Below are 14,732 nucleotides of genomic sequence, written 5' to 3'. Positions count from 1 at the left end.
ACACATGAGCCAAGACAAATGAGCTGGCCTACTTACTTTGTAGATAAATGTGTAAACTCCTCAAGACTTCCAATAATGAACTCCAATAAGGAAATTAGTTCAATGTCTTTATGGCCTTGGTGACAAATGGTTACAGAAAATCAGAGCATTTTTTTCCTATCCACTAATGGTCAAGAAGAAAGCAGACAGATCCTCACTATCTTAGAGAACTAAGTGAGAAAGTTGGTCAATGAAGAGGACTTCATCCAGAGAGGAAGGGATGTAGCTTACAGGGAAGATGCTGTAGGAGGCTGAGGAAAGTGAGGCTAGAGCAGTAAAACAGATCTGACAGCCCGGTGAAGATAAGAAAGTGACCTGACAAAAATGAACGGAGCAGAGTGCCAAATGAAGGGCCCTTTCCATGCTAATCTTGCATAATGCCCTCAACCAGCCTTAGCATAACTGAGTTTCTATTTAGCTTGCCATATTGTGGGGGGTGGTGGTGGCACAATTTAAGTTGCAGTAAGTTGTGTAACAAACTCACAATAGGGCCTTGCAGAAATATATATATATATATAATATATATAAATATATAAAATATATATAGAAATATATATATAGAATATATATATAGAAATATATATAAAAATACATACATATATATATATATATATATATATATATATATATATATATATATTTTTAGGCAGGTTCTTGCTCTGTCACCCAGGCTGGAGTGCAGTGGTGTCATCTTGGCTCACTGCAACCTCTACCTCCTGGGTTCAAGCGATACCCCCGCCTCAGCCTCCCCAGTAGCGGGGACTACAGGAGTGTGCCATCACACCTGGTGAAGATATATATAGATATAGACGGATATATATCTATACCTATATCTACAAAGAAGGCCAGGCATGATGCCTCATGCCTATAATTGCAGCACTCTGGGAGAACGAGGCCGGAGGATCACTTGAGGCCAGGAGTTCGAAACCAGCCTGGACAACACAGTGAGACCTCATTTCTCCAAAAAATAAAAATAAAATGGCAAAAAAACAAAAAAACAATAAACCTCACACCATATATGCAAATTAACTCAAAATGGATCATAGATCTAAATGTAACTACACAATTTCTGGGAGAAGACATATAGAGTAAATCTTTTCCACTTTGGATTAAACAACAGGTTCTTAAAGATTTCTTAGGTAAGAAACAAAAAAGCACAAGCCATATAAGAAAAAATTGCTAACTTAAAGCTGATCAAAATTAAAAACTTCTGCTCTTCACAAAACTTTATTTATTTATTTTCTTTCTTTCTTTATTTTTTTGAGACAGAGTCTCACTCTGTTGCCCAGGCTGGAGTGCAGTGGTGCAATCTTGGCTCATTGCAACCTCCACCTCCCAGGTTCAAGCACTTCTTGTGCCTCAGCCTCCTGAGTAGCCGGGATTACAGGCATGGGCCACCACAACTGGCTAATTTGTGTATTTTTAGTGGAGATTGGGGTTTTGCCACGTTGGCCAGGATGGTCTCGAACTCCTGACTTCAGGTGATCCACCTGCCTCGGCCTCCCAAAGTGCTGTGATTACAGGTGTGAGTCACTATGCCCAGCCAGAGAACACTTTTAACAGAATGAAAAGACAAACCACAATCTGAGAGAAGATATTTACCAAACACATATCTATAAGGCCTTGTTTTTTGTTTTTATTTATTTACTTATTTAATTTTTGAGATAGTATCTCACTCTGTGACCCAGGCTGGAGTGCGGTGGTGATCACAGCTCACTGCAGAGCCTCGACCTCCCAGGCTCAAGCAATCCTCCCACCTCAGCTTCCCGTGTAGCTGGGACCACAGGTGAGCACCACTGCACCTGCCTAATTTTTATGTTTTTGGTAGAGACAAGGTTTCACCATATTGCCCAGGTGGTCTAAAACTCCTGGCCTCAAGCAATCCTCCTGCCTCAGCCTCCCAATGTGCTGGGATTATAGGCATGAGCCACTGTACCTGGTCCCTGAAAAGACTTGTATCTAGAATCTATAAAGCACTCTTTTTTTTTTGTTTGAGATGGAGTCTCACTGTGTCGCCCAGGCTGGAGTGCAGTGGCGTGATCTCTGCTCACTGCAAGCTCCACCCCCTGGGATAACGCCATTCTCCTGCCTCAGCCTCCCGAGTAGCTGGGACTAAAGGTGCCCGCCACTACACCCGGCTAATTGTGTGTGTGTTTGTGTGTGTGTGTGTGTATTTAGTAGAGACTGGGTTTCACTGTGTTAGCCAGGATGGTCTTGATCTCCTGACCTTGTGATCCACCCGCCTTGGCCTCCCAAAGTACTGGGATTACAGGCATGAGCCACCATGCCTGGCCTAAAGCACTCTTAAAACTCAATAATAATGAATCTCCAATGGGATAACAGGGGAAAAAAGCCTCAATAAAAATATTAATATCCAATTAAAATATGGGAACAGATTTGAACAGTACAGTAAAGAAGATATTTGCACATGAACATTCAACATCACTAGCTATTAAAGAAATGCAAATTAAAACCAGTGAGATTCCACTACACATCTAGCAGTAGAAAGGTGAACATTTCTTTAAAAACTCAAATATAAGAATCTGCTGGGCTGGGCCATGCATCGTGGCTCACGCCTGTAATCCCAGCACTTTGGGAGGCCAAGGCAGGTGAATCAAATGAGGCCAGGAGTTTGAGACCAGCCTGGCCGACAAGATGAAACCCCATCTCTACTAAAAATATAAAAATTAGCTGGGCATGGTGGTGTGTGGCTATAATCCCAGTTACTCAGGAGGCTGAGGGAGGAGAATCACTTGAACCTGGGAGGCCGAGGTTGCAGTGAGCTGAGATCTTGCTGCTGCACTTCAGCAATGACTCTGTCTCAAAAAAATATCTGCTGGGCTGGACATGGTGGCTCACGCCTGTAACCACAGCACTTTGGGAGGCCAGGGGGTGTGGATCCATTGAGGTCAGGAGTTCAAGACCAGCCTGGCCAACATGGTGAAACCCTATCTCTACTAAAAATATAAAAATTAGCTGGGTGTGGTGGCGGGTGCCTACAGCTACTTGGGAGGCTGAGGCAGGAGAACTGTTTGAACTCAGGAGGTAGAGGTTGCAGTGAGCCGATATGGCACCACTGCACTCTAGCCTGGGGATAGAGCAAGACTGTGTTGCAAAAAAAAAAAAAAAAAAAAAAAAAAAAATGCTGAAGATGTGGAACAACTGTGACTCTCATACAACGCTGGTGGAAATGTAAAATGGCACAGCCACTTTAGGAAACAGTTCAGCAGTTTCTTAAAAAGTTAAATATACACTAAGCATGTGAAGAATCCAACTCCTAGGTATTTACCCAAAGAAATGAAAACATTGGTTCACACAAAGACCTGTATATGAGTGTTTTTAGGAGTTTTATTCATAATTGCAAAAAATTGGAAGCTACCCAAATGTCTATACATTGATGAATGGATAAACAAATTGATACATCCACACAACTGGAATACTACTGAGCAATAAAAAGGAGTGAAGAGTTGTCCCTCGGTGTCTGCAGGGGATTGGCTCCAGGACCCCCTGCAGATACCAAAGTCCACAGATGCTGAAATATTTTATATGGAATGACATAATACTTGATATAATAAATGACATAAGCCTCGGGTATACTTTAAATACCTAGTACAGTGTAAATGGTATGTAAATAATTGTACCGTGTTTTAAATTTTCTACTGTTTTATTGTTGTATTATTTTATATATTTTATTTTTTCCAAATATTCTCCATCCATGGTTAGTTGAATCCATGGATGAGGAACATGTAGATATGGAGGGCCAGCTGTACTGATAGGGGCAACAACATGGATGGTAGCATAATCTCAAAAAAAATTATGCTGAGTGAGGCCGGGCGAGGTGGCTCACACCTAGCACTTTGGGAGGCCGAAGTGGGCAGATCACTTGAGGTCAGGAGTTCGAAACCAGTCTGGCCAGCATGGTGAAACTTCATCTCTACTAAAAATATGAAAATTTTCTGGGCATGGTGGCACACACCTGTAATCCCAGCTACTTAGAAGGCTGAGGCAGGAGAACCACTTGAACCTGGGAGGCGGAGGTCGTAGTGAGCTGAGGTCATGCCTCTGCACTGCAGCCTGAGTGACAGTGAGACTCCGTCTCAAAAAAAATAAAAAACAATACTAAGTGAAAGAAGTCAAACACAAGAGGCTACATGCTACATGATTTCATTTATAAGACATTCTGAAAAAGACAAAACTAGGAACAGAAATCAGATTAGTAGCTAACAGGGGCTGATGGTGGGAGGAAGGGATTGCCTACAAAGGGAAATGAGGGGCCTTTCTGAGGTGACAGAAATGCTTTATATTGGGAATGTGGTGGTGGTTATGTAACTATACATTTGTCAAAACTCATCAAACTATACACTTATAAAGGGTGAATGTTATATGAAAATTAAATCTCAATAAACCTGACTTAAGAAAATAATAAAACAAACCTAAAAAACCAACTAAGTAAAAATAAATCTAAGAAAAAATAACTTACAGTTTTTCCAGTTCAACAGTCATCGTGAGAATGTTCTTAAGTGTTGTAAGTGTGATGTGTGTTGTTCCCATGTCTCTGAAGAAGAAAGCCGAAACATTCATGATATGAACCCATTACAAAATTCTGTACTTCAAAAGATAATTCAAGGACATGTGATTACTTCTATTTTGGCTTCTCTATAAAACAAGCCACTTCAATAGTTTATTTGCCGTAAAATTCCAGAGAGATCTTATTAAAGAAATTTAAGTTGATCTACGTCATCAAATTAATGATATTTAAGAGAACTTACACTTTTTTTTTTACCATTATCTTACTTCTCATTTCATATTGCATTCACCCATCTTGATTTACTCTTTTCTTTCTTTTTAGAATAATGAACACCTATTTCTCTTTGCTTTCTTGGTTAAGTAATATTCCTCCATGTGTCTACATGTTCCAAATCTATACGGCTTCTTCAACACTAATCTCTTCCCCCGCTGGCTGTCTTGACCATTATACATCCTTTCTTAATCCTTTTCTTTGCCAATAACTTTTTTCAATAACTCAGTTAAAATTTAAATTATGACTTTTTAGCCTAAATGCAAAATACTTTATCTTTGATGACAAATTTAAAAAGCATAAATCATCTCATGACTCATGAGAGTACTATAGTACTTACAGATATTTTAATGCCGGCAGTTCAAAGAGATATGGATCTTCGACAGTAGTCAGAGGATTGCGATTGAGAATTCTGAAAAATGCAATGAAATTAAAATTACCTGCATTTTCAATGTGTGAAACTGCATAAAAAGTCTATATTCATTTTTTGGTATGGAACTTTTAGGTAAAAAAAATAATTTTCTGCTTTTACATAATAAATCACCATTAGACTCCATAAAGCACTATTCCTTTGGGAACTACCTAGGTCTCTAGAAGATAAAGTAGAGGAGAGAAAGCAGGGAAGAAATAGAAAAAAAAAACACACAAGAAATGGATAGGAAAGAAAAAATATGCCACAGAACTTTTCAGGTCAAAAACCCTAGAAATGACAATGTTGGTAGGAAGCCCTGACTCTGTAGGAAACACTATTTCTAGTGTCCTCCATAATACAAGTTGTTCATCTATAATTCAAGTTGTTTTTTTTTTTTTTTTTTTTGGAGATGGAGTCTTGCTCTGTCACCCAGGCGGTGGACAGCAATGGCTCCATCTTGGCTCACTGCAACCTCCACCTCCTGGATTCAAGCAATTCTCCTGCCTCAGCCTCCTGAGTAGCTGGGATTACAGTTGCCCACCACCACGCCCAGCTAATTTTTGTATTTTTAGTAGAGACGGAGTTTCATCATGTTGGACAGGCTGGTCTCCAACTCCTAACCTCAGGTGATCCACCCCCCTCGGCCTACCAAAGTGTTAGGATTACAGGCCTGAGACACTGCGCCTGACTGCTTGCCTTTTATCTTTATAAAGTTTTTTAAATTTATGGTTTAATTTGCACAGTTAAGGAAAAAAAATAGGACCAATTCTTTTGCTTTATACCCAAAGAAAAAGGGATAAATCTAAGAGGAGGAACTGGTCAAAACCATACTCCCATCACATACTCCCACTTGTCTTCCTGTATGACATCACAGCCTTCGTTACACTGCATGTAACCACCTGTCTACTTGTCAGTCTCCTGGGCTATCAGCTCCTTGAGGGCAGAGACCACATCTTATTGTCATTGTCATCACTGTGCCTGGTATGATGTCTGAAATTTACTAGGGATTTAATAAATGTTTATTGAATAAACAAATGACATTTTGTTTATCTGTCAATAAAATGAATAAATTCATTTTGATGTGAATTTTTATTCCAAAATGCTGGAATCTATTTTCTTTTTAATTCTTTAAAGTGAACAAGAAAAAGAAAAGAAACAGGAAGAAATAAAAGAAAATCACGCTTTAGGTTAACCCAAGAATCATCACTGTACTTTTGCAGAAAATATAAAAATAATAATTCTTACAGTGAGCATCTATTAGGCTGCTACGTATTTGTGATCAGCATTTCACATTTCATCCTCACAATAACCTTATGTGGTAGATATTATTATTGCCCTATTTTATAAATGAGGAAACTGAGGCACAGAGAGGTTACATAACTTGTCCTAGGTCACCAAGCTATGAAGAAGCAAAGCTGTAATCTGAACTCACGTGCTTACTCTGTATGAAGAAAAAAGGTTTACTTTAACCTTATGGTTTTACAATTTTTTCTTTTCTTTCTTTCTTTCTTTCTCTTTCTTTCCTCATTTCCCTCCCTCCCTCCTTCTTTCCCTTCCCTCCCTTCCCTCCCTCCCCTCCCTCCCTTCCTCCCTTCCTTCCTTCCTTCTTTTGAGTTAAAGTTTCCATTTATTGGCTGGGCCTGGTGGCTTAGGCCTATAATCCCAGCACTTTGGGAAGCCAGGCGGGTGGATCATCTGAGGTCAGGAGTTCCAGACCAGCCTGACCAACGTAGTAAAACCCCATCTCTGTTGGAGCCTTGCTCTGTCGCCCAGGCTTGAGTGCAATGGCATGACCTTGGCTCACTGCAACCTCCGCCTCCTGGGTTCAAGTGATTCTCCTGCCTCAGCCTCCTGAGTAGCTAGGATTACATGTGCCCGCCACCACACCCAGCTAATTTTTGTATTTTTAGTACAGACGGGGTTTCACCATGTTGGTCAGGCTTGTCTCGAACTCCTGACTTCAGGTGATCCACCCACCTCAGCCTTCAGAAGTGCTGGAATTACAGGCATGAGCCACCGCTCCTGGCCACCAGATTCTGATGTGGGACTCCCACTGTTATAAAGTGCTTAGTAAAGGTGGTGAGTTTAAGACATTTGTATTGATGCTACCCAAACCTCTTGGTGGAGGGACCTAATGAGCCTGTTCTCTGGTGTGAGGGCAAAAGAAAAACAGACCCTCAGTGTGTCTTCCCTAAGTTAAGCATCAGCAAATTAATGAAGACAGAGAGGAGCATCTGCAGAAACTGCTGCTCTAATCCAGACACATCCTGAACACCTCCCTCTACCTCAAAATGAACTGTGTGAAACTAGATTTCTGAACCACAAGAAAGGTGGAAAGTATTTTCTAAAGTCAGATGTAGAGGAGAATCTTCACCTTGAGTCTAAAGTCCCCTTCAGGCCATTGAATATACCCACTCTGATTTGCTGGGTATGTTATACAGAGAAATCATAGAATTTTTGCACTTACGGTAGAAGAGTAGTCAGGAAAGTATATGGAATTAAAGTAGAGCGATGTATTTTCTTTACAAAATTTTTTTTTGCACAATAGCTTAACATAAACACCATTTTGGCCAGGCATGGTGGCTCACGCCTGTAACCCCAGCACTTTGGGAGGCTAAGGTGGGCAGATCACCTGAGGTCACAGGAGTTCGAGACCAGCCTGGAGGGGAGGTTGGAGTGCAGTGGCACAATCTCGGCTCACTGCAACTTCCACCTCTGGAGTTCAAGCCATTCTCGACCCTCAGCCTCCCGATAGCTGGGATCACAGGCGCCTGCCACCACGACCTGCTAATTTTTGTATCGTTAGTAGAGACGGGGTTTCGCCATGTTGGCCAGGCTGGTCTCAAACTCCTGACCTCAAGTGATCCTCCCAAGGTGCTGGGATTATAGGCATGAGCCACTACGCCCAGCCCTACACTTTGGATTTAACTTTGATTCCTGCTCATATGCAGAGTTTCAAACTGCTTAAATGTCTGCAACATTTAGCTGCAAGGAAGAAAGCTTAACACAAAGTCCTCCAGGGAGCAAAAAACTGCATCACTACGCCCAGCTAATTTTTTTGTATTTTCAGTAGGGATGGGGATTCACTATGTTGGCCAAGCTGGTGTTGAACTCCTGACCTCAGGTGATCCGCCCCCCTCAGCTCCTAAAGTTCTGGGATTACAGGCCTGAGCCACCTGCCCAGCAACAAGGCTAATTTGAGGGTCACTTGTTTGATGCCTTTTCTTGCCCATGCCATAGGTCAGAACTAGGACAAGCAGAGCAGGTCATATATAAACTGTGTAAGTCTCTTGGCTGCTTTGTACCTTAGTTTCCCCATTTGAGAAAAACGAATGGATCTTAAGACACACTTTTCAGAGTTCATAATGGGCTTATACCCAGCTAACCAATAATTGTATGAGTTTTTATACAAAATAGTCGTTTACACGTATTCATCTTCTATTTCACTTACAAGTTGTGTAAAAACTGCATTCCGTGCCAGGCCTGAAATGTTCCAAGGCTCAGTTTTGTAATTAAATTGCAGCCCAGATTTCTACAAAAAAAGACATAAGCCAAAGGAAAAAAAAATTATTTCAGAACATTTATCATTTGCTGTGAGTCTAATTTACATAGGATGGAACATCACCTCAATCTTTTCTCTGTGCACTAAGGCAATCTCACTGTGGAAGATACTGGCTTATGGTTTATACTTTAACATTGCACATGTGGTGCATTAGCTACAAAACAGTGAACGCTCAGTAAATACCTGTGTTAAGTGATCTTCATTTCTCTAGAACAGGATTTCACAACTTCAGTACCATCGACATTTTGGACTATATAACTCTTTGCCGTGGGGGTTTGTCTTATACTCTGCAGGATGTTTAGCAGCATCTCTGGCCTCTGCCCACCAGATGCCAGGAGCACAACCACAGTTTTGTCAAGCAAAAGTGTCTCTGGACATTACCAAATGTCACCTGAGTACAAAATCACACCAGTTGAGAACCACTGCTCTCTGATGATTCACTATGATCTGTGTAATAATTCTCACACTAATCTTTGCTAGAGACAAGAAGGACTTGCTATATAATTTTAGTACCTTTCTACTGGTCAAATTTTAATCATATTTCAAAATGAATAGCAAAGAGGTTTATAATTAAGTTTTATAAAAATTCCAAATGTAATAAAGTTATATTTGTAACTTACATATACTGCAAAAATGGTAGTGATTCAAATGTTTGTCTTTCAATATATCGTATTTTATTGCAGGATAAATCTCTAGGAAAAATAAAAGGAAAATATTGCCTTGATAAGTTATCAGTGTTGACTGGTATGAATAATAGCAAGAGTTTAGAATAATATTGAATACACATTTTTCATCTCGACTCTAAACATTTGGACCTGTATTTGAACTTTCCAGAGCTCCTAACCCTGCCTGTACCTCTCCTAGAGTCTCGCCTTCATACTTTTAATAAACAAAATATACAACTTAATAGACTTTGGAATTAATTTTTCCTGAGAGCAGTAGACTTGATTAGATGCCCTTTTGTAGTCTCATCAAATCCTAGATTATGAGCTCAAAGCTTTTATCTCTATATATAGTTTCTAATATTAAAACGAATAGCCTCACATTTATACACCTTCCTAGTTTAGCTTTGTTTTCCTAAGCCAGTTCAGTATCAGAAGAAATAAAAGACATCCTTTCAACAGCATTTGAAAGGAAGTTACCCCTTTACTTAATACATAACTTTGAACTAATATTCAAATCATATTAATACAATTAATTTCTATCATATTAATAGAAATTCATTTTTGGTTTTATATTGCTTTAATATTTCATGAAAGCAGTTTCTTCAGTTATACAGAGATGGGGCTTTTCCCTCCCTCTTTACCTGGATGGTGTAACGTTGTCTGGCTGATGTCTCCATCTCTAGTCTCTCCCTTCCTAAACTATCCTCCACACAGTCATCATATAAACTCTCCAGAAGTGGCTTGCAAAGACCAGCACCTCCTGGGAAATTATTGAGGATGCAAATTCTTGGTCCCACTCTAGACCAACTGAATCAATAACTATGAGGGCGGAGTCCAGAACTGAGTTCTAACGTGCCCTCTCAATGACTGTGATGCAGATCCATCTTACAGCACTGCTGTGATAACATGGTTCCCCATGATGGCTCCTCAGCTTGGCATTCAAAGCCCTGGAAGATCTGGCTCCAATTTCCTACTCTCCCTCCTTGTAATCTACAGGTACTCATGGCATTCCTCGAATACTTTCCTGTGTTTTGCCCTTCTCCCATTTCCCTTTTGCAAGTTTAGAATATTGTCCCCAAGATGTCTGTCCGATGCTACACAATGGCCCTTCAAAGTCCTATTCAAATGGGATTGTTCTAGTAACAGCTTCCTGGGTCCAAACTGAAGTCATTTTCCCCTCTTCTATGCTTCAGAAACAATTTATCCCTCCTAGTGCCCACATCCATTTCTTCTTCTTAATGTAGTTATTGTTCATCCCATTTTTTCTGAGCATAAACTCCTTGAAAGCATGGACTAGGTCTTGATCATCTGCATTGCCCACCATGTTTAAAACTGACACATGGAAATAAAGTAAATTAAAATATTTGTAAAACAAATGAATAGCTGGCCGGGCGCAGTGGCTCATGCCTGTAATCCCAGCACTTTGGGAGGCTGAGGCGGGTGGATTACAAGGTCAGGATATTGAGATCCTGGCTAACAAGGTGAAACCCCGTCTCTACTAAAAATACAATAAATTAGCTGGGCATGGCGGCGTGTGCCTGTAGTTGCAGCTACTCGGGAGGTTGAGGCAGGAGAATGGAGTGAACCAGGGAGGCAGAGCTTGTGGTGAGCCGAGATCGCACCACAGCACTCCAGCCTGGGTGACAGAGCAAGATTCCGTCTCAAAAAAAAATAATAAATAAAAATAAATAAATAAATAAATGAATAGCTGGGGGAGTGAGTAGTAGGAAAATGATTATTTTAAAGCAAATGTAGTTTTATTACTTCATGGCCTCTGTAGCACTTTGGCATCCACTTGAGGGTCTTTACACCCACTTTCCTTAAGCCTTTCACATTTGAAAGAATCTGTCTGCAAAAGAGCATCACTAATAAGGATTAATGACATACACACCTCTGCGGACAGAGGATAAGAATCAAGCTTTCATAGCAATTGAACATAGTATCTTCTTGTCTCTAAACAGACAGAAATACTATGCAGGTATCCCTTTCTTGGTAACAGGGCTGGGGAGATAGTTACTGTGTAATTAGTGAAGAGTTAGGGGCATTTCTGATATGCTTCTTACTGTAAACATTTCTAGCTCTACCACTTAACCATCATTTTAAACATCTGTTTTAATATAACAATTCCTGAAATGAAATCCTTAATACTAGTCTATTCTCTTGGTAGCTTAATATTCTTGATAATATTATTTCTATAATTCAGCTGATTTCAAATATTTAAATGTTAATTTAATGCGATTAAATTACCAAAAAATTCTGGATTAATGATGTTCAAATGAATGTAGGTGGTCTATATTTTCTTCTCCTTTAGGCAACAATCTGAAGTTAACTTTAATTCCTTTCATCCTACTAAACCAACTTTTTCAAATCGTTTTTTGTGAAGGTCAGACAGTAAATATTTTAAGGCTCTGTGGGCCACATATGATCTCTCTCGCATATTTCTCTTTCTTTTTTCTTTCACAGTCCTTTAGAAATGCAAAAACCATTCTTAATAGGCTATTAAAAAATAGACCTTAGGTTAGATTTGATCTACTGGCTGTAGACTGAATAGAAGAAGATGGTATGTAAACCCTTATAAAACAAGGTTCATATGGGTGTCAGTCACTGCTCAGATCTTCTTACCATGTGAAATTTTTTCTGTCTGTATTTTGTCTATACAATTTAAAAACTGAAAATGCATAGGATGTAGCTAATGCTAGAGATGGGCTGAGACCCTATACAAACTTACAGAATTGCAGAATTTTATTGCTGGAAGAAATCTTAGAGATTATCTAATTTGAACCTCTTATTCATTTTAAAGATAATATGACTAAAAACTCAAAAATATGATTAACTAACTTACAAATACTGGAGGTATAGCAGGCCTTCAAATGAATCCTTAGGTAATTCAGTCAAATAATTTTCACTGAGAATTCTGGAAAATGAAAAAGTTATTTCTAGGTTAAAATGCAAACTACAACTATTTGCTACACAGGACTATCTCCTGCATGTGGAGGAAAGCTGGGTCATGGTCATTTCAAGATGGTGGGATCTGCTCTGCTTTCGTTCAAACCTTTTCTTCCATTTTCCTTTTTGTGTTCATCCCTCTCCACCACCACCACCACACACACACAGGCAAGCGCACACACACATTTGCAGGCACACACACACACACAAGCACACACACAGGCAAGCACACACACACAAGCACACCCACACACAAGCACACACACAGGCAAGCACACACACACACAGGCAAGCACACACACACAGGCAAGCACGCACACACACTTGCAAGCACACACACACATGCAAGCACACACACACAAGCACACACACAAGCACACACACACAAGCAAGCACACACGTGCAAGCACACACACACAAGCACACTGCTCCACTCTTCCCACCAAATTGTATCTTTAATGACTCCTCTCTAGATCATAATATACCTTTCAGAATCCATCTCTGGGTGGCACCAAGATCTGCAGAACCTCCATTTCCTCCTCTCTTCTCCCAAACCTTATTACAAAAGCCCCACATGGGACCATGTCAGGGCTGCAAGTGAAGCCATTCAACATTTTTCCCCCATCAAAAAAATTTGAGAACTACAATGTGCGTAAAGTGCACATAACATAAATGTTGTTTATATTTAATTTAATTTAATTTAATTTAATTTCTGAGACAGGGTCCATTCTGTTACCCACACTGGTCTCAGACTCCTGGCTCAAGTGATCCTCCTGTCTCTGCCTCCCAAAGTGTTGGGATTGCAGACATGAGCCACCTCACCTGGCCAAATATTCAGTTTAATAATTATAAAGCAGATACCCATGTAAACATTGTTACAAAAGATTATTGCTAGCATCCCAGAAGCCCCAGTGTGCCCCTTTCCAATCATATTCCTCTCTCTAACCCTAATAGGTAACCACTACCCTGACTTTTGTAATGATTTTCTTGCTTTTAAAATGTAGTCCTGGCCTGGCCTGGTGGCTCATGCCTGTAATCCCAGCATTCTGGAAAGCCAAGGCACATGAATCACCTGAGATCATGAGTTCGAGACCAGCCCGTCCAACATGGTGAAACTCTGTCTCTACTCAAAATAGAAAAATTAGCTGGGCATGGTGGCGGGCACCTGTAATTCCAGCTACCCAGGAGGCTGAGGCAGGAGAATCCCTTGAACCCGGGAGGTGGAACTTGCAGTGAGCCAAGATCGCACCAGTGAACTCCAGCCTGGGCAACAAGAACAAAATTCCATCTCGAAAAATAAATAAAGCAATTCTCCTGCCTCAGCTTCCCAAGTAGATGGGATTATAGGCACCCACCACCATGCCTGGCTAATTTCTGTATTTTCAGTAGAGATGGGGTTTCACCATATTGGCCAGGCTGGTCTCAAACTCCCGACTTCAGGTGATCCACCTGCCTCGAACTCCCGAGGTGCTGGGGTTACAGGCGTGAGCCACTGCACATGGCATGTGTTTGATTTTTAATTTAGAACTCATGTATGTCTTGTCTATATAAGTCAAACTAATGATGTGACACAAACTGTTGTGAAAAATGTTACTTTGAATGTAAGCATTTTTTCCAAAATCATTTATGTGTCTCAACTAATTCCTTCTATAAATCAGGAAGAAAACGATAAAACAATTCAACAGGAAAATGAACAAAGGACAGAAAACTCAGAGAAGAAACACAAATGTTCAATAAACATATAAAGATATTTAATTAAATTCATGAGTGATCAGAAAAATTCAAATTTGGATGGAATCCCTTTTATTCATCCATAACTTCAACAAAAAGCTGGCAAATTCCCAACAGTGAAAAGGTGTGGGGAAATGAATGCTGTCATATTCTGCTGACAATATAGTCAGTTGGCACAACATTTTTGAGGACAATTAAAATTTTATATCTACATAGTCTTCACCCCAACTCTTCCATTTCTAGATATCTATGCTACAGGAATACTTGCCCACTAAGCATAAGCTCAACATTCATCAATGGGGAAATTATTAAATAAACTATGATGCATCCATACTATGGATTATGCAGGAGTTTAAATGAATGGGGTGACCCTCTAAGTCCTAGGAAGGAAAGAAATTATGAAGTGAAAGAATATCATATAAGTGATACCATGAAGTGAAAGAATCAAGTTGCAAGATGTTACCCTTTATGAAAAGAAAAAAGATTTTAAAAACCACACAACAAATCTATTTTGCTTTATGTAAATATGTATGTAGGTAAATGGGGAAAAGTCTGGAAGCATGTATACTAAACACACAG

At 40.0% G+C, this 14,732-nt stretch overlaps 1 protein-coding gene across 2 annotated transcripts in view; it reads right to left on the bottom strand.

Annotated features, from left to right (window-relative positions):
- Positions 1-14,732, bottom strand: part of LRRC37B (leucine rich repeat containing 37B) — a 46,105-nt gene that overhangs the window by 13,329 nt on the left and 18,044 nt on the right. For both annotated transcript variants that reach the window (NM_001321350.2, NM_052888.3), the window contains 5 exons: positions 12,319-12,390; positions 9,432-9,503; positions 8,701-8,781; positions 5,178-5,249; positions 4,520-4,594 (listed from right to left, as the gene is read on the bottom strand). In NM_001321350.2, coding sequence (NP_001308279.1) covers positions 4,520-4,594; positions 5,178-5,249; positions 8,701-8,781; positions 9,432-9,503; positions 12,319-12,390 — 372 coding nt within the window. The remainder of the gene's footprint in view (positions 1-4,519; positions 4,595-5,177; positions 5,250-8,700; positions 8,782-9,431; positions 9,504-12,318; positions 12,391-14,732) is intronic.

The sequence above is a fragment of the Homo sapiens genome, chromosome 17 (genome assembly GCF_000001405.40).
Source record: "Homo sapiens chromosome 17, GRCh38.p14 Primary Assembly".
Classification (NCBI taxonomy): Eukaryota; Metazoa; Chordata; class Mammalia; order Primates; family Hominidae; genus Homo; species Homo sapiens.
Note: the sequence above shows the minus strand (reverse complement) of the source record. Positions and strands in the feature narration are given on the sequence as shown.